The following is a 19584-nucleotide window of genomic DNA, read 5'->3' as shown; positions in this document are numbered from 1 at the left end:
TGGAAACAGGTTGTTTTCATATCTTGGCTATTGTGACTAATTTTACAATGAACATGGGAATGAAGATGTCTCTTTGAGATCCTGATTTCAATCCCTTTGAATATATACCCAGAGGTGGTATTGCTGGATCATATGTTAAGAAGGTAGATTTCCTGTTAGGTGTTCTTCCCAGGAAAATGAAAGAAAACAAAAACAAAGGGACACAAAAAAACTTGGAGAAGTTGCATACATCTATTACCTTGAGTGGTGATGGTTGTGTGGGTATTTGCATACATCCAAATTCATCAAATTATACACCCTGAATATGTGCAGTTCTTTGTATATCAATTATACCTCAATAAAGCTGTTAAAATTTAAAAATATATATATAATAAAATAACAAAATAATGATGAAGCCAACACATGTTAAGAATTTATCATATGCAAGGCATTCTGAGAAACTCATCACAAGGATTACTTCATTTAATACTCACATAGTCCTCTGAAGTAGTTGCTATCATTATTCCAGTTTGCAGATGAAGAAATGCAGGCACAGAGAAGGAAAATATTTGGCCATGGGTCACACAGCTAATGGACTTAGTTCTGTATAACTGCAGAACTCATACTGTTAGCAACTGTGGTTGTCTGTAATTAATTTAAAGATAGAATAAGTTAAATCTGGTATTTTCATTTCATAGTGTTTAATGTCCTAATGATTAATTTTTAAGTGTATAAATTAATGTTTTATTATCTTCAAAAGCAAATAAAGCAAGCATTTTTTTATTGCTATGATCCCAATTTTTTCTCCTCTACAAAATTGATAAACAATAATAAAGTGTTCCCATTTCTGATTTATAACATAATGCAAAATGTATTGTTTTCAAATTTCTAAGATAAGAATAAAGTTATTTTCACAATTAAATATTTTAGAAGAAGAAGAGTGGTATTCGGGTATTCTAAACTAATAACTGGCATTTCCTTATTTTCCTTCTCTCCTTCATCTTTCCTTCCCTTTGCCTCTCATTAGCCCACCTTTTACATGTACGTTTGGGTGCTTCTTTCTCGGGCTTATAATCACATAAAGCTTTCTATAATTCAATATTACTCTAAATAGTCATCCTCATTTGAGTGAGACTGGCAAACAGGTAACAAGAACAACATTAGTCATTATTTTCATCTTCTTGACTATTCTCCTTCTCCAAACATCTTTTGCTTCCCCCTTTTAAGAAAGAAATTATGGATATAAGTGCACTTTAATATGTTTACCTAACTGGAGGTTTATGCCATAGCAACATGGCTCAGTGTCTCTTCAGGAGGTATATTCCCTGTCTCCTCCCTTTCCTTTCATCCCTGTCCTTGTATTTGTATGCAACTCTTCCTCTCTCTGACCCCCTTCTTGTTTAACATTCATTCTTCTCTTCCATTCAAGAAAGGAAATGTAGAATGGGAACATAAAGTGGCATTGGAGCAAGACTAGAAGTGCTATGTTTCTCCAGGGAGATCATGCGGCCAATGGAAATACTTTAGTACTGGTGCTTCTTTATTAGCCCAGGGAATTATAAGGGTATTTCAACCTGCTCTTTGTAATAACTCCGGGGAATAATAAACAGGGAAGATCAGGGAGAAGAGCCGCCATGTTTGGTATGGTAAAGCATGCAACGGAATCCATAGAATTTGCCATCTCAGTTTGGAATGTAAGCCAAATATGGCAATTGGAGATGGCGCTCCACCCCTCCGATTCGCAAGATATCCGTCGGTATTTAATCCAGTCTAATTCTGACCCTGAGTGATCATGGGAGAGGAGCCCTTAGTTGCCAGGCTTTCCCTTTAGAATACTGTCTGATTAAATGCGCTCTGTTACTCTGGTAGAAAAAGGGAATTTAAGTAACTGGCACCTTGAAATGCCCTGCAGCTAAAGATAGCTCTAAAATAAATGCATAATTGTGAGCTCCCATGACATGTACAGCACAAGATGTCCGAGTGAAAATTCAAAGTCATGCGCATGTAAGAAGGAATGTTATTTCCCAACCACACACACACCATGCAATTTCATTCAGTGACTAAGAGCTTAGGAGCCAGACTACTTGGTTTCAAATCCTGGCTCAGAGGCCTCCAACTGTGTGATTGCAACCACCCCAAGCCTTGATTTTCTCTTCTGTACACTTGTGATAGCACTTCCCTTATACAGGGGCAAAATTTGGTTATTGATCACACCGCCCAGCACATACAAATTACTCAGTAAATGTTAAGGAAGGAAGAAGATTTAGAGTAGCTGGCTTTCAACACTGGGGGATGTGATTGTTTTTAACCTGGATTGGGGCAAGTTTGTGAGAGACTTTAAAACAACTATAGCAATTGGTAGTTATCCTGGGGCTCTTAGCATTCTAGTTGCTTTTTCACTTCTCTATATCACCCTCCCCAATTTCCCTTAGCAAAAACAAGGACTCTTTTGTATTTTCCTTACCACCATTATGTCTATCATATAGCAAACATTAAGAAATAAGGTGAACAGACTATTTTGGTATCAATTACTCATTTTATTCCCTAATCATAGTTCATGATTCCATCTCTTCCAACAAAAGATCAAGGCCTCTCATTTCTTCTATCAGCCACAGAAAACGAGTTGGACCCAGGCACTGGTGGACACATAATGAGTCTCTGAGTGGAAGAATTCTGTCCTCTCTTTGTTATCCTGTCTACTATATGTGTTGTTTATCCTTCTGAATGAAAAGAGAATTGAACTCCAATTATTCTGGAATTCAATGCTGCAAGAGTTGGCTTGGAAAACTATGTGTCCAACAATGGAAGACTTTGGAGTCCGTGAGAAGAACAGAGTTTTATCTGATTATATAAAAAGATCAGTTCAGGTGCAGCCTCTCCAGCCAAGAGAAGGAGGGCCCTCTCTCTACTTCTTACTGGCTCCTGATAGCATATGGTCTAGGTAGTGCAGAGTGAAATAGAAACATCACCTCAAATTCAGTGGCTCACTGGATCAATTCACTTTAATATATATTTCATAATTAGTTCCTTTACCTCCTCCCCAGATTAAAAAAATCATTTTTATTTCAAATTATTAGTCATAAAGGATGTACTTGAGTCAATATGTAAAATAGAGGGACTTGATAAAGTAGATTTTCTTTAAATTTATCTTGCAAAAGAAAAGTAAAACAGTTTTTCTTTTTAAAAAAAATAGTAAAATCATACAAACTTATGACAGAGCAGGGAGTGGGATACAGGCCTGAACTGCAATGCCAGGTCTTCTACTTAAATGCCATGTACTGCCTCTACTGCAAGACGATAATTACATTTTTTTGTGAGTTTCAAAAAAATGCTATTGTCTTGTGTCTTAATTATTAATTATAGCAAAACATATAGATCTGAATATTTCTTTTTAAAATATTTTGTCTTTATCACAACAGTGAATTTCTTTATTCAATGCTACTGCCCCAAATTAAATTCCCACTAAAACTTACATCATTTAACTGTGACAAAACAACTAGTCAAAATAGTATTTTAGTCCTGTGTAAACAAACTAACTAACAGATAAAGAGAACTTTCACTGTTCAGCTGATTGTCATGAGGCTGTGCTGACTGAGTCAAAGGAAAAGGTAAATAAAGCAAGAGACTGACTTCAATATAAATCAATACTGTCTAGAATCAACATGCAACACAACACTTATGCATTTACCAAGAAATATTTACCATATTTTGTATGTTATAGGAGGGCTGAAAGAAGTATCTTAGCACACAATTGCTGATTAATTGGTGGTATACATGGAGTGAAAGAATCCCAAGGTAAAGAAATGAGTTGGTGATATGGGAAACACACACACACACAAAGAAATATTCTATTAAATACCAAGTCTGTCTTTGTTTTCAGCATAGATGTGGCAACAACCTATTGAAAATTTGGAAGTGAGCTGGCAATATTTAGAAACAAATTTAGCCCTGCTGAGAAATATCCTGATCCAATTACCTGAGTTTATTTCAGAATAAAATAAAGTTGTTAGGAAACAAAGATGTAACATCTTGGGAATAAAATTGTATGTGTGAAGGTGTGTGTAAGCAAGGTAGAGAGAATACAAAAGTCTCTTCAATTCTAAATGATTAGTTGCAATAAACTGTCTTTTGCTGGTGAATATAATAATGAAAAGGCATTAACGAAATTGATTTTTTAAAAATATTGATTGTCACAAAGGAAATCATTGCCTCTATTTCAAAAGTCAGCAATGCAGAAATGAGAAAACCAACCCATAGTAAAACTGCAGAGGTCAGAGGCCAAGTTTTATCTTCTCTGTATGTGCCATAGCATATAATTGGAAGAAAAGACCTGACAAAGGCATATTTCCCAATGGCCCTACTGAGAAGAAAATATCTATTGTGGCTAGAACTATTAAGATCAGGAGGCTTTATAGCAATATTTATTCACCACAGATTAAATTGTGAAAAATCAATATATTTGTTTAAAAAGGTGAATAACAAAAAAAGTATATTGTTTTCTAAATCTCTTTGAAGATTTTCAATAAGGGTGCAAGTTTTTACCCCACCCATTTCCAAACACACACACACACAGACACACACACAAACACACACACATCTCTCCTGTTTTTAAGTGCATGATTGTCACCTACTTTAATTTATGCCAATATCCATGCTAGACCTAGGTGCTCTAATTGGATACAAAAGCAATAATTGTAATGGGATGTGGTTAACCTCTCAAAGGCCTGTTAGTTCACTCAGCTGTGACAGCTGGGGGAAATTAAAGTAGTTCCAATAAATCACTCAAAAGCAGATAGAAACTGCTAATAGAAAGAGAACTTTAAGGAAAAAGAAATATCTGGTAAAAAAAATTCTAGCATTAGAGCTATCAATCTATCATTTATTTAAATCTTACTCTAGCTTCTGTTCCTCCCTAGCATCTTCCATAAAGTATTTTAAAAGAGCAGGCTGAGGTGGATTTTCCTAAATTTGAGTTTCTCTTCTATGGGATTTCTGTGATGTTTTCTTGGCTCAATATTGACCTGATAGTAATTTTTATTAAGGTCCCATGCTTAGCATCAAATACGTGTACACTCACAGACTGAACATTTAAAATGGACCAGCATTATAGCATGGACTCTTGGTATTCACCACTTTAGCATCCCAGACTTTCACTACTCAAAAAACAAAACTCCAAAGGTCCATGAAATCTTGTGATTTTTGATTAAGTGGAGGCAAAAAAACTTTTTAAACTGTTTTGCATTGCAAGAGTAAGGTATGTAGCTCCTGAGTGAATTTAGTTAACTATCCAATACCCTGTTTATATTGTATATATTTTAGAGGAGAAATATTAAGTCATGTTGAGGTTAAATGACTTGTTCTGGGACTATAAGTGGCGGATAGATGGGGTGCATTTAGTCTAGATCTCCTGAACGATGCCTAGCAATAACTAAAATTATAAATATTCCTTCAAAATTACTTTAAAGCTCAATGCAAATCTTCTCTTTTTAAAGAACTTTCCAGGTTTACTTCTGCACATCGGGAAACAAAAATTTTACTTCAAGTTGAAGAGTTGAATTGTTTGAAGCACAGTTAAATGATAATTTTATGTATTTTATACATTTGTGAAATCTATATAACTTGGAGTTATCAACAGATGTTATAGTTAAGAATTCTTGCTGAACTTTGCAAATTATCTTTATTCAAGACAGAATCTGAATGTCAAAACTTTTTTTTGCAATTGGCATCTTTTCTTTTTCAGTTATTTCTCTAGGATTCCACTGTGACATCCTAGCAGAATTCTTTTTATTTATTTATTTATTCATTTTATTATACTTTAAGTTCTAGGATACATGTGCACAACATGCAGGTTTGTTACATATGTATACATGTGCCATGTTGGTGTGCTGAACCCATTAACTCATCATTTACATTAGGTATATCTCCTAATGCTATCCCTCCCCCCTCCCCCACCCCATGACAGGCCCTGGTGTGTGATGTTCCCCTTCCTGTGTCCAAGTGTTCTCATTGTTCAATTCCCACCTATGAGTGAGAACATGCGGTGTTTGGTTTTTTGTCCTTGCAATAGTTTGCTGAGAATGATGGTTTCCAGCTTCATCCATATCCCTGCAAAGGACATGAACTCATCCTTTTTTATGGCTGCATAGTATTCCATGGTGTATATGTGCCACATTTTCTTAATCCAGTCTATCACTGATGGACGTTTGGGTTGGTTCCAAGTCTTTGCTATTGTGAATAGTGCTGCAATAAACATACGTGTGCATGTGTCTTTATAGCAGCATGATTTATAATCCTTTGGGTATATACCCAGTAATGGGATGGCTGGGTCAAATGGTATTTCTAGTTCTAGATTCTTGAGGAATCGCCACACTGTCTTCCACAATGGTTGAACTAGTTTACAGTCCCAGCAACAGTGTAAAAGTGTTCCTATTTCTCCACATCCTCTCCAGCACCTGTTGTTTCCTGACTTTTTAATGGTCACCATTCTAACTGGTGTGACATGGTATCTCATTGTGGTTTTGATTTACATTTCTCTGATGGCCAGTGATGATGAGCATTTTTTCATGTGTTTTTTGGCTGCATAAATGTCTTCTTTTGAGAAGTGTCTGTTCATATCCTTTGCCCACTTTTTGATGGGGTTGTTTGTTTTTCTTGTAAATTTGTTTGTGTTCTTTGTAGATTCTGGATATTAGCCCTTTGTCAGATAAGTAGATTGCAAAATTTTTCTCCCATTCTGTAGGTTGCCTGTTCACTCTGATGGTAGTTTCTTTTGCTGTGCAGAAGCTCTTTAGTTGAATTAGATCCCATTTGTCAATTTTGGCTTTTATTGCCATTGCTTTTGGTATTTTAGACATGAAGTCCTTGCCCATGCCTATGTCCTGAATGGTATTGCCTAGGTTTTCTTCTAGGGTTTTTATGGTTTTAGGTCTTACGTTTAAGTCTTTAATCCATCTTGAATTAATTTTTGTATAAGGTGTAAGGAAGGGATCCAGTTTCAGCTTTCTACACATGGATAGCCGGTTTTCCCAGCACCATTTATTAAATAGGGAATCCTTTCCCCATTTCTTGTTTTTGTCAGGTTTGTCAAAGATCAGATTGTTGTAGATGTGTGGCATTATTTCTGAGGCCTCTGTTCTGTTCCATTGGTCTATATCTCTGTTTTGGTACCAGTACCATGCTGTTTTGGTTACTATAGCCTTGCAGTATAGTTTGAAGTCAGGTAGCCTGATGCCTCCAGCTTTGTTCTTTTGGCTTAGGATTGTCTTGGCAATGCAGGCCCTTTTTTGGCTCCATATATACTTTAAAGTAGTTTTTTCCAATTCTGTGAAGAAAGGCATTGGTAGCTTTATGGGAATGGCATTGAATCTATAAATTACCTTGGGCAGTGTGGCCATTTTGACGATATTGATTCTTCCTATCCATGAGCATGGAATGTTCCATTTGTTTGTGTCCTCTTTTATTTCGTTGAGCAGTGGTTTGCAGTTCTCCTTGAAGAGGTCCTTCACATCCCTTGTAAGTTGGATTCCTAGGTATTTTATTCTCTTTGAAGCAATTGTGAATGGGAGTTCACTCATGATTTCATATCCAGCCAAACTAAGCTTCATAAGTGAAGGAGAAATAAAATCCTTTACAGACAAGCAAATGCTGAGAGATTTTGTCACTACCAGGCCTGCCCTAGAAGAGCTCCTGAAGGAAGCACTAATCATGGAAAGGAACAACCAGTACCAGCCACTGAAAAAACATGCCAAATTGTAAAGACCATCAACGCTAGGAAGAAACTGCATCAACTAAACAGCAAAATAACTAGCTAACATCATAATGACAGGATCAAATTCACACATAACAATATTAACCTTAAATGTAAATGAGCTAAATGCTCCAATTAACAGACACAGACTGGCAAATTGGATAAAGAGTCAAGATCCATCAGTGTGCTGTATTCAGGAGACCCATCTCACGTGCAGAGACACACATAGGCTCAAAATAAAGGGATGGAGGAGGATCTACCAAGCAAATGGAAAGGAAAAAAAAGCAGGGATTGCAATCCTAGTCTCTGATAAAACAGACTTTAAACCAACAAAGATGAAAAGAGACAAAGAAGGCCATTACATAATGGTAAAGGGATCCATTCAACAAGAAGAGCTAACTATCCTAAACATATATGCACCCAATACAGGAGCACCCAGATTCATAAAGCAAGTCCTTAGAGACGTACAAAGAGACTTAGACTCCCACACAATAATAATGGGAGACTTTAACACCCCACGGTCAACATTAGACAGATCAACAAGACAGAAAGTTAACAAGGATATCCAGGAATTGAACTCAGCTCTGCACCAAGTGGACCTAATAGACATCTACAGAACTCTCCACCCCAAATTAACAGAATATACCTTCTTCTCAGCACCACATCACACTTATTCCAAAATTGACCACATAGTTGGAAGTAAAGCACTCCTCAGCAAATGTAAAAGAACAGAAATTATAACAAACTGTCTCTCAGACCACAGTGCAATCAAACTAGAACTAGGATTAAGAAACTCACTCAAAACTGCTCAACTACATGGAAACTGAACAACCTGCTCCTGAATGACTACTGGGTACATAACGAAATGAAGGCAGAAATAAAGATGTTCTTCGAAACCAATGAGAACAAAGACAAAACATACCAGAATCTCTGGGACACATTCAAAGCAGTGTGTAGAGGGAAATTTATAGCACTAAATGCCCACAAGATAAAGCAAGAAAAACCTAAAATTGACACCCTAACATCACAATTAAAAGAACTAGAGAAGCAAAAGCAAACACATTCAAAAGCTAGCAGAAAGCAAGAAATAACTAAAATCAGAGCAGAACTGAAGGAGATAGAGACACAAATCCCTTCAAAAAAATCAGTGAATCCGGGAGATGGTTTTTTGAAAAGATAAACAAAATTGATAGACCACTAGCAAGACTAATAAAGAAGAAAAGAGAGAAGAATCAAATAGATGCAATAAAAAATGATAAAGGGGATATCACCACCGATCCCACAGAAATACAAACTACCATCAGAGAATACTATACATCTCTATGCAAATAAACTAGAAAATCTAGAAGAAATTGATAAATTCCTGGACACATACACCCTCCCAAGACTAAACCAGAGAGAAGTTGAATCCCTGAATAGGCCAACAACAGGCTCTGAAATTGAGGCAATAATTAATAGCCTACCAACCAAAAAAAGACATGCTAGCAGAATTCTTTGGAGTCCCAAAACAGGACGTTCTTGACCACTTGCTGCCTACTGTCTTTGAGTAGCCCAAAACCCACAGACAGCACTAAACTGGGGTGGTGGGGGCAGATTATATGCTGCTGAGTGGAAGAGTTCCCACTCCAGCAGTTGGGAGGGAAAAGACTGCAGCAAGCACACCCCAAGAGGCTTAGGCAGTTCAATCCTAGTGCCAGCAGAGGGCAATCATTTCTGTTCCTGGAAGAAACAACTACATTCTCCCTACATGGAAAGAAGTCAAAAGCATGACTCACAACATTAAGAGGAATAATATCTACAAATCATCATCAACGACAGCCAAATATAACTTATTTAAGGTATTGATTCATATAAGGAAAGAAAATCAAGTTGTAAAAGCAAAAACAGATAGCTTCCATTGAAATAGAACGAATACCCAGCACTTTGCAAGGCTGAGGCGGGAGGATCACTTGAGCCCAGGAGTTACAGATCAGCCTGGGCAAAATGGTGAAACTTCATCTCTACTGAAAATACAAAAATTGGCTGGGCGTGGCGGCCTGCACCTGTATTCCCAGCTACTCAGGAGGCTGAGGTGGAAGGATCACCTGAGCCTGGAAGGCAGAGTTTGCAGTGAGCTGAGATCATACCAGCCTGGGTGACAGAGCCAATAATAATAATACTGTCTCAATAATAGTGTCTCAATAATAATAATAATAACAATAATAATAATAAATAAATAAAACTGATAGAAGAGATGAACAAAATCTTTAAGCAAAACATGAGGTTCTTCAAAGAGACAATTACAGTTCCAAAAAGACTTTCTAGAGTTAACAAATATATTTCTACTATTTAAGAAATTAAATTTTTAAAATGAAAGGAAAGAGAGAATGATGTATGTTAATAAGCCATTTAGGGTTTTCAAAGATTAAGAGAAAAAAGTTGCAACAAAAAGTGAAGTTCTACAGAGCTGTAATTTATAGGTAAAAGAACATGAGGCAGGTGAACAGATCTGGAAGATCTAAGGAGAATATAATAGGTGTCCTCGAAAGAGCTGCCAGACTACAGATAGGAAATGAATCATTAGACAAAAGTTAAAATAAAAAAAGAGGAGGAAGCTACCGTAATTTGTTGAGTCTTCAGATCAAAAGAGACAATGTGCCCTGGGCCGTATTAATGGACACAAACACACACACACATACACACACACCCCTTGACATTGCATGTTAACATTCCAGACATGCAAAGAGAAAGAGAAAATTTTTACAATCTCCAGAAATAAAATTACAAAAGAAGGCTAGATGACACTTTCCAAATCACCTTTCATTAAGAGTAACTTAAAATGTATGAGTACTAGGCTTAATACATGGGTGATGAAATAATCTGTACGACAAACTCCCATGACAAAAGTTTGCCTATGTATCAAACCTGCCCTTGTACCTCTGAACCTAAAATAAAAGTTAAGAAAATAGTAATAAAAATGTATTTGACAAATCCATCTTGAGCCATGTAACAGAGGTTAATCAGAAATGGTGGGGTAGAGGGTACTTGATAAAGTGCCTCATTAACTCTGATAATAATGAGACAGTAACTTGATGAGAATAACACATAGTAACATTTTATGAATATATAATCCATTTACTAAGAAACAGGTTAATTCACTAAATTACTGTACCTACCTGTAATATCGGCTGTGAGAAAGTAAATCATGGTATACACCATTTCTACCATAAAATGAAACTGTGGTTTGAAAGAAAATACCAGCTTTGACCTAATGACTTTAGCTTTAAATATTTGTCTATACCTTGCAAACTGAATTGCTTAGAAATTACTAACCTGATTTACTTCGGAAAGACTCTTCCCTGGTGTTCATCACTGAGAAACTGTAGTGTATGTGTGCAAGAACACAGACTCTGGCCCCAGACCTGCTGGATTTGCATCTTAGATCCACCTCTTACCTGTGTGGTCTCCATGTCCCATCCCTTATCTGTAAAGCCAGTGTACTGAGAGCATTCACCTCACAGAGTGATGGGGAAGGTTAAATAAGTACATAATGCACTTAGAACAGTGTTTGTCACCAACTTAGTGCCACACGAGCATTTACATTATTTTCATTGCTGCTGTAGTTAATGTGTAGTTGGCTGTCATTCAGTGCACCAGTATCCGGCACCAGAAGCAGAGTGGACCCAGCACCCTTCCCACGAGATCATGGGCCACCTCGTGTCAGAACGTTCGGAAACTGAGATTTCCTGGTTTGAAACATTAGTCTAAGGCCAAGGTGAATGAAATAGGGTCAGGTGAAATTTAAAAAACCAAAATAAAAAAACAAACAAACAAATTAAGTTTAAAATACTTAGAAAGTTAGATTGTCAGCCGTTACTCTTACAGCTACCTGCCCGTTTGCCTCCAGAAATTGTTTGCTGACATTCTCGTTCATCCTAATCTACTATGGATTAAAGTTAAAATTGTTTCTAAAATAAAAATAAATAATGTCTTGGCAAGACACAAAAATAATCTAACATGGATAGAACATAAGAGCTTAATGTAAGATATGTTTGTTTTGGAGCTACTCAACTGTTTGCCATATAATTCCTATTTGTTTATTATTGTGGTTTATCTATTTTGGGTGATGAGGGAATGGGTTATATTTTAGATAGCTGCAGTAGTTGTACAGGTCTTCTGGTAAATGAAATACAGCTAAAGAACAATTTTTTCCTGCTAACCAACAATTCTTTCCAGTCTCCCTCACTCTGAACTTGGAATAATCTCTTTTCTCTCAACTCTTTTAGTCACCAAATCTCAGCCTTTTAATTGTCTCATTTATAGTCTCTTCTCCATTTCTATCACCAATATTGTCCTTTTTACTGATGTTTTTATGATAGCAGAATTACTATCAGTCTCCTATCTTGATTTCCTAATTAATCACCAGTACATCCAGTTTCAACATGAACAAGGGACTTTCTTCTCTCAACATAATTTGTCTTTTCTTTTAAATTCTGAATTGCTCAAAGACAGGGACCAGGCCGAGGTGTGGTGGCTCAAGCCTGTAATCCCAACACTTTGGGAGGCCATGGCAGGAGGATCACTTGAGTCCAGGATTTTGAGACCACCCTGGACAACATAGCAAGACCATGTTTCAAAAAACAAATAAATAAATAAATAATTTTAAAAGGACCATGTTATATTCATCTCTATATTTCCATTTTTTTTTTATCAGTTTTAATACCTGATATACAATAATTGGAGGGTATAGGAGTGCGGGTATGGGGAGTTTTTATTTTTAATTTTACTTCCAGGGCTAAGAGTGTTGTTATTAAGCTCAGTGCTTTTACATTATGAAGCTTAGTTTACAAAGCCCTTTCGGGTTATCATGTGCTTGTTTAGGAATCATTGGCTTTCTTTGTTTTTGTCTTTTCAACCTTTTCAAATGTCTACTGCATATGCCAAAGGCAGAATCTAAATCTCTGGATATCATGTGTGACTACTTGAAAACGTGTCTCTCCAACTGTTAGAGACAAAAAGATTCTCTGTAAAAAAAAATATATATATCCTGAAGATAATCTGATTTTAATACTGGAAATAACAATTTTGATGAGTAATTTATGTTAAAGGAAAAAAATATTACAAGTGAGTCATTTCTTTGATGAAACAACAGGTGGCAGCAAAGGGGGTAATATTGGCATCCCTACTTTTCAGAATAATTGGAACCGAAAATTGCTTTTGGAAGTCCATTTTGAATCCTGTCTTAAAACCAATAAAATTTTTGAAATATCAGTATACAGATTTTTAGTAATTATGTTATAAGATATTCTGCTTTTTAAAATAATTCTGTTTGTAGGACAAATGGGCAGAAATGTGGATCTTTTAAGAGTTCCCTTGGAACCTTCATTTAAAAAGACGGGTCACTTTTTGGTAGATCTAAAAAGAAGAAACATAAACCAACTAAACAGATGCTTAGCTTCCAAACAAATGCTCACAGAACCTCTCTCTTGCATTGGCCAAATTTTCTCTTCCTATAAAGCAATCTGTCCGTCACAGCAACATTTCATTGTTTTCAAATCACCAAATTTAGTTTATTGTAAGGTTTGGTATAAGTTGTTTTTTAAAATTCAGAACTAAAATCTTTTGACAGGAAATGCTAAAGTTGAATAAAGATAATTAATGTAGTATAATAGGTATCAGGATTTATCTGGAAAATTAAAAGAGCAATAGCATTGATTCTAATAATTCCTGAGCTTAAAGTGCACTTTGATATGAATTATCTGCATAAACTAATATGTTTTCTCTATTTATGCAATTGTAGCAGTGACAACAGCTCTTTCTGTTAGTGAAATCCTCTTTCATATGTAGTCTTGTTTGTAGAGGAAGCTAAGGTCTGAGGGGGAAGAATCCTCTTTTTACTCAAAGGGGAGCAGAAAGAAAATAGTGAATAGTTATACCAAATCACTGAAGTAGCTCCAGATGTACCAAAAGTAACGATGATTACAAGTCACACACTGAAAGCTACACTCAAGTTTAATTATCAGTACAGTTCTGATACATTTAAGACTTCCTATCCACTTATAAATGTAACTCCCATCTTCTTTCTTTAAAATAAATAACCTGCACTTTTAGAAATGGATTTTAGAGATGGCTTATAGCAACTTTATTTTTTACTTTTCTTTTCTTTTTTAAACTGGAAGTGTGAAGGGAGAAATTTTGCCAGATGACAAGATGATTTCAGGAGAGGTGAAGATCCATGCAGTGCTATAAAATAAGCAGTAATGCATTTATAGTCCCCAGATTTCCTTTCATCATCTCATCCTTTCCTCCTAGTAATGCCACCATTACCCACCTCAGGCCCACGTGCCTTCCTAGTTCTTCTTTCTCCTACTCTTTAAAACTTACTTTGAGATCCCACATTCACACACAACATAAATACGTTGTAACAGAGGCCAAAGCTTTGTGTTAAAGTTCTATTGAGCAGAATTTCATGCTCCCAACTGTCAAATGGAGCGGGACTTAAAAGACATGAAGTCACATGGGAGAGCTAAGGGTATTGAACTGAGACTAAATCATGTAGTTGCCTCTTCCTCTGTTTCCACATACAACTGGCTGAAACCATTGCAGTTACACACAGTCAAACTCATTTCAGACATGGCCATGGTATTTGTCTGCAAGACACATGACTTCTATATTTGCAATAATACGCACACACACAGCCAATACAAGCTGAAGCTTATAATAGACACACATGGCCAATACAACCGGAACGGTTCATTTGAAATGATATGAAGAATACAGGTTTAAAAATGGCAAAGTAGATCTCTAATTTAGCAGTCTTAAGGAACAAAGTCGACAGCAACATTCATGCCTTTGAAGACTTCCTCTCTAAAAACAAATAATGATCTAAGCTGGCTTTGGAGTGTTTGCTTCCATCACACAGCAATGGCTCTCTCCCAAATGGAGAAACTTCTAAAGTCAAAATGTGACTTAACAACAGGGAAAAGATAGTAAGACCAGTGAAAATAGTGGAAAGGCAATCGACACAAGGGAAGAAAGAAAAGAGAGTCATAATAAAGGAATTTTGTTTTCAGAGCAGGAAGAATCACATGCACCAGGACTGTCAGGTTCAGTCAAAAACATGTGGAAAATATGTCCCCTAGTCAGGCCACTCTTGGCAATGAACCATAACTGTGAGTGTTGGGTCAGTATCAAGTTCTCCTGAACACCATGGCTTACAAACAGGAAAAAAAGGAAGCATCTGAGTCAGGTCCCCCCCAAAAAAGGACAACAGTGTGTATGTCCTCATTGTGTTTGGTTATCTCTAAATGAAAATAAATGTGGTGCCCCCTGGATCGCCGCCAGAACAAGGTGATGATATAGAGATGGATTCATGCCACTTTCTGTTCTCTTGTAACTCTTTTAGGAAAGAAAAGTTCTTAGTGCACAATTATATCATTAAAAACAAGAGCTGTAAAGCCCTCATGACAATAACATGCCTGATTCTTCACAGATTGAGAATAATCATGCTTCAAAGCCCATTAAAATCTTGAAGAAACCACAATTTATGAGGTAGAAATTAAGCCACACAAAATAGACAAAGCTATACTGAGCAAAAAGGACAAAATTGGAGGACCCAGATTATCTGACTTCAAGTTATACTGCAGAGCTATGGTAATCAATACAGCATGATACTAGCATAAAAACAGACACATAGACCAATGGAACAGAACAGAGAACCCAGAAGCAAGTCCATACATGTACAGTGAACTCATCTTTGACAACAGTGCCAAAAACATCCATTGCAGAAAGAACAGTCTTTTTAATAAACGGTCCTGGGAAAACTGGATATCCATATGCAGAAGAATGAAACTAGACTGCCATCTCTCACCATATATAAAAATCAAATGAAAATGGATTGAAGACTTAAATCTAAGACCTAAAACTATGAAACTACTACAAGAAAACATGGGAGAAACTCTCCAGGACATTGAACTGAGCAAAAAATTCTTGAGTAATACCCCATAAACTCAGGCAACCAAAACAAAAATGGACAAATAGTATCACGACAAGTTAAAATGCTTATGCACAGCAAAGGATACAATCAACAAAGTAAAGAGGCAACCCGCGGAATGGCAGAAATTATTTGCAAACAATCCATCTGACGAGGGATTAATAACCAGAATACATAAGGAGCTAAAGCAATTCTATAGGGAAAAAATCTAATAAACCAATTTTAAAATGGGCAAAAGATCTGAATAGACATCTCTCAAAAGAAGACATACAAATGGCAAACAGGCATATGAAAAGGTGTTCCACATCATTGATCATCAAAAAAATGAAAATCAAACCTACAATGAGATATCATCTACCCCAGTTAATTATTGCCAAAAGACAGGCAATAACAAATGCTGGCGAGGATGTGGACAAAAGGGAGTCCTTATATGCTGTTGGTGGGAATGTAAATTAGTACAATCACTATGGAGAACAGTTTAGAGATTTCTCCAAAAACTAAAACTAGAGCTACCATATAATCCAGTAATCCAACTGCTAGGGATACACTCAAAAGAAAGAAATAAGTATATTTATGAGATATTTGCACTCCCACGTTTATTGCAGCACTATTAACAATAGCCAATATTTGGAAACATCCTGTGTCCATCAACAGATGAATAGATAAAGACAGTGTGGTTTTCCATTCCTGAGTTACTTCTGTGTTCTCACTGATGTGTAGGAGCTAAGCTATGGGGACGCAAAGGCATAAGAATAATACAGTACTTGGGAGGCTGAGGCAGGAGAACTGCTTGAACCCAGGAGGTGGAGGTTGCAGTGGGCCGAGATCGTGCCACTGCACTCCAGCTTGGGCAACAGAGAAAGACTCAATCTCAAAAAAAAAAAAAGATACAGTAGACTTTGGGGACTTGGGGTGACAAGTGGGAGTGGGGCGAGGGATAAAAGACAACAAATATGGTGCAGCGATACTGTTCGGGTGATGGGTGGCACCAGGAGCTCACAAATCTCCACTAAAGAACTTATGTAACCAAATACCACCTGTACCCCAATAACTTATGGAAAAATAAAAAAAAATTAAAGACAATGTTGTACATATACACAATGGAGTACTACTATTCAGCTATTAAAAATAATGAGATTCTGTCATTTGCAACAACATGAATGGAACTGGAGGTCATTATGCTAAGTGAAAAAATCCAGGCAAAGAAAGCCAAGCATCGCATGTTCTCGCTTATTCGTAGGAACTAAAAATTATAACAATTGAACTCATAGAGATAGAGAGTAGAATGATAGTCATCAGAGACTGGGAGGGGTAGTTGGAAGAGAATAGCGGGGTGGAGGTGGGAATGGTTAATGGGTACAAAAAATAGAAAGAATAAATAAGATCTAGTAATTGGTAGCACAACTATAGTCAATAATAATTTAATTATACATTTAAAAATAACTAAAAGATCGTATGTCTCCATCAAAATATCCCATATACTCCATAAATATACACCTGATATGTACCCAGAAAAAAACATTTTAAAATTACAAAATTTAAAAATTAAAAAAAAATAAGCCACAGATTTGGGACATCTTTCTGTTCAACGCAGTTCAAACAGTTAATCACATTATTGCACAGATACAATCCATAACATAAGATCTTAAATGCGTGGATACAAGCCAATGTCTCTCTAATGACCACATAATGAAAGTGTATATAATTAGGGGTATGAATCCTCACTAGAAAAGTATGTTTCTAGGTTTTGGGTACTAGAACTCCTCCAACTTCTCCAAATAGCTGAGACCACCTAGGATTTCAGGATACAGAGAAGAGAATTTGTTTGATTCATGGAATGTTAGGACATGTAACTGATAATAACAATTATAATATTACTGTTATAGATGACATATAGTATATGCCATGTAGTGAGGGTAAGCCTGTCATGTGAATTATCTCATTTAATTCTCACAAGACCCTATGGAATAGATTCTAAAGTTCCACAATTACTGGATGAACACCCTTGGAGAAAAATCAGTTCTGGAATTCCAAATATTTTGGATTTTAGAAAGGCAATATTAGATAGATAGATAGATAGATAGATAGATAGATAGATAGATAGATACACACACACACACACACACACAGAGCTGTGTGATCCCAGTGTAATCTCATCCATGAACCAATATTGATATATCATTACCCACTAGAGTCCCAGCTATTTTAATGGTTTTTTGTTTTTGTTTTTGTTTTTGTTTTTGTTTTTGTGACGGAGTTTTGCTCTTGTTGCCCAGGCTGGAGTGCAATGGTGCGATCTCGGCTCACTGCAACCTCCACCTCCCAGGTTCAAGCAATTCTCCTGCCTCAGCCTCCCAAACGGTTTTTATCTAACACCCTTTTCCAGGATATCACATTGCACTTAGCTGCCATGTCTCCTCAAGCTTCTCCTGGATTCAGCAGTTCCTCACACTTTCCTTGTCTTTGAATACCTTGGGTTTAGGAGAATACTGGTCAGGTAGCTTGTAGAATGCTCTTCAGCTGGAATTTATCTGCTATATTTCTCATGATTACACTGGGGTCACAGGTTTGGTGGAAGAACCCAGAAGTAAAGTGTTATTCACATCACATCATATATATTATGTGCATACTATCAACATGATCTAACTCTGTTGATAATTAACCTTGCTCACCTTACTGAAGTGATGTTTATTATGTTTCCATTCTGTGTAGATATGCCCGCTATTCCCCATTTTATACTATTTGGAAGGAAGTCACTATACCTAGTTCATGTTTTAGGAGAGAGGAATTATATTACATCTCATTAAGGGTGGAGTATCTACATAAATTATTTGGAATATGTCTGCACAGGAGATCTCTCTATTCTCCCTTATTTATTATTTTCATTTGCTTATGGAATCAAGGAAATTTATTTTACACTTTGGGTTATAATCTAATATCACTTTGTTTTGTTCAAATGATTGTAACTGTGGTCATTGGGAGTTCTGTCACTTGTCTCATCATGTATATCTCCTGTCCCAACCCTAGAATCAGTCATTCCTGTAATTATCTCTGGATCTTTATATTGAAGAATGTTATGAGAAACTAAAATCTGGGTGCTAATATGTGTTCATTGTTATTGGAATTTTTTCCTAGTGTTTCAAGATGACAGAGTAAAAGAAAAATATATTTATACTAACGCACATATATACACATATCTATAAGTATTTCTATATTTAACTGCTATAGTCTGAATATTCATGCTCCCTAAAAATTCATATGTTTTAACCTAATCATCAATGTGCTGATATTAGAAGGTGGGGACCTCTGTGAGGTGATTAGATCATAATGGCAGAGGCCTCATGCATGGCATTAGTGTCCTTATTAAAAAGGTCCCAGAGGCCTGTCTTGTCCCTTCTGCCAGGTGAGAATGCAGCAAGAAGACATCTTCCATGAACCAGGAAGTGAGCCTCACCAGACACAAAATCCACTGTTGCCTTGATCTTGGACTTCCTCTCCTCCAGAACTGTGAGAAATAAATTTCTGTTGTTTATAAGCTACTTGGTGTATGACATTTTGTTATAGCAGCCTGAAATCACTGACTGTAACTACCTGTGTCTCTGTTAATCTAAATGAGTTTTCCTACTGATATATCCAACTCTAATCCATTACCACATGGATCATTCTAGCCTGTTCTCCTTGCATGTCTGTAAATTCTCACTACTACAGTAAAAATCCTGGCTTTGACTATCTACCATCCGTTTACTTATTTCTTCAATTTGAGAGTATATATATATAGTGTTTTCAGATTTTTTAGTCTCTACCCTCATGGAAAATAACTTTATCAGCTAAAACACAGTGCTTATGTACAGTTCCTTTTGACTTTAGTCAGTCTCCACTCATTTTC

At 36.4% G+C, this 19584-nt stretch overlaps 2 long non-coding RNA genes across 8 annotated transcripts in view; one reads left to right on the top strand and one right to left on the bottom strand.

The window, feature by feature from the left end:
* The window catches only part of MITA1 (metabolism induced tumor activator 1), a 133238-nt gene that overhangs the window by 3343 nt on the left and 110311 nt on the right, over positions 1-19584 (bottom strand). For all 6 annotated transcript variants that reach the window (XR_001745967.2, XR_001745970.2, XR_001745965.2 and 3 more), the window contains one exon: positions 474-624. This is a non-coding gene — a long non-coding RNA (metabolism induced tumor activator 1). The remainder of the gene's footprint in view (positions 1-473; positions 625-19584) is intronic.
* LOC105375912 (uncharacterized) overlaps positions 1-19584 on the top strand; it is a 42502-nt gene that overhangs the window by 12312 nt on the left and 10606 nt on the right. The gene's annotated exons all lie outside the window — the stretch shown is intronic.

Source organism: Homo sapiens, chromosome 8 (genome assembly GCF_000001405.40).
Source record: "Homo sapiens chromosome 8, GRCh38.p14 Primary Assembly".
In the NCBI taxonomy this organism is placed as follows: domain Eukaryota; kingdom Metazoa; phylum Chordata; class Mammalia; order Primates; family Hominidae; genus Homo; species Homo sapiens.
The sequence above is the reverse complement of the archived record's forward strand: the minus strand, read 5'-3'. Positions and strand labels throughout refer to the sequence as shown.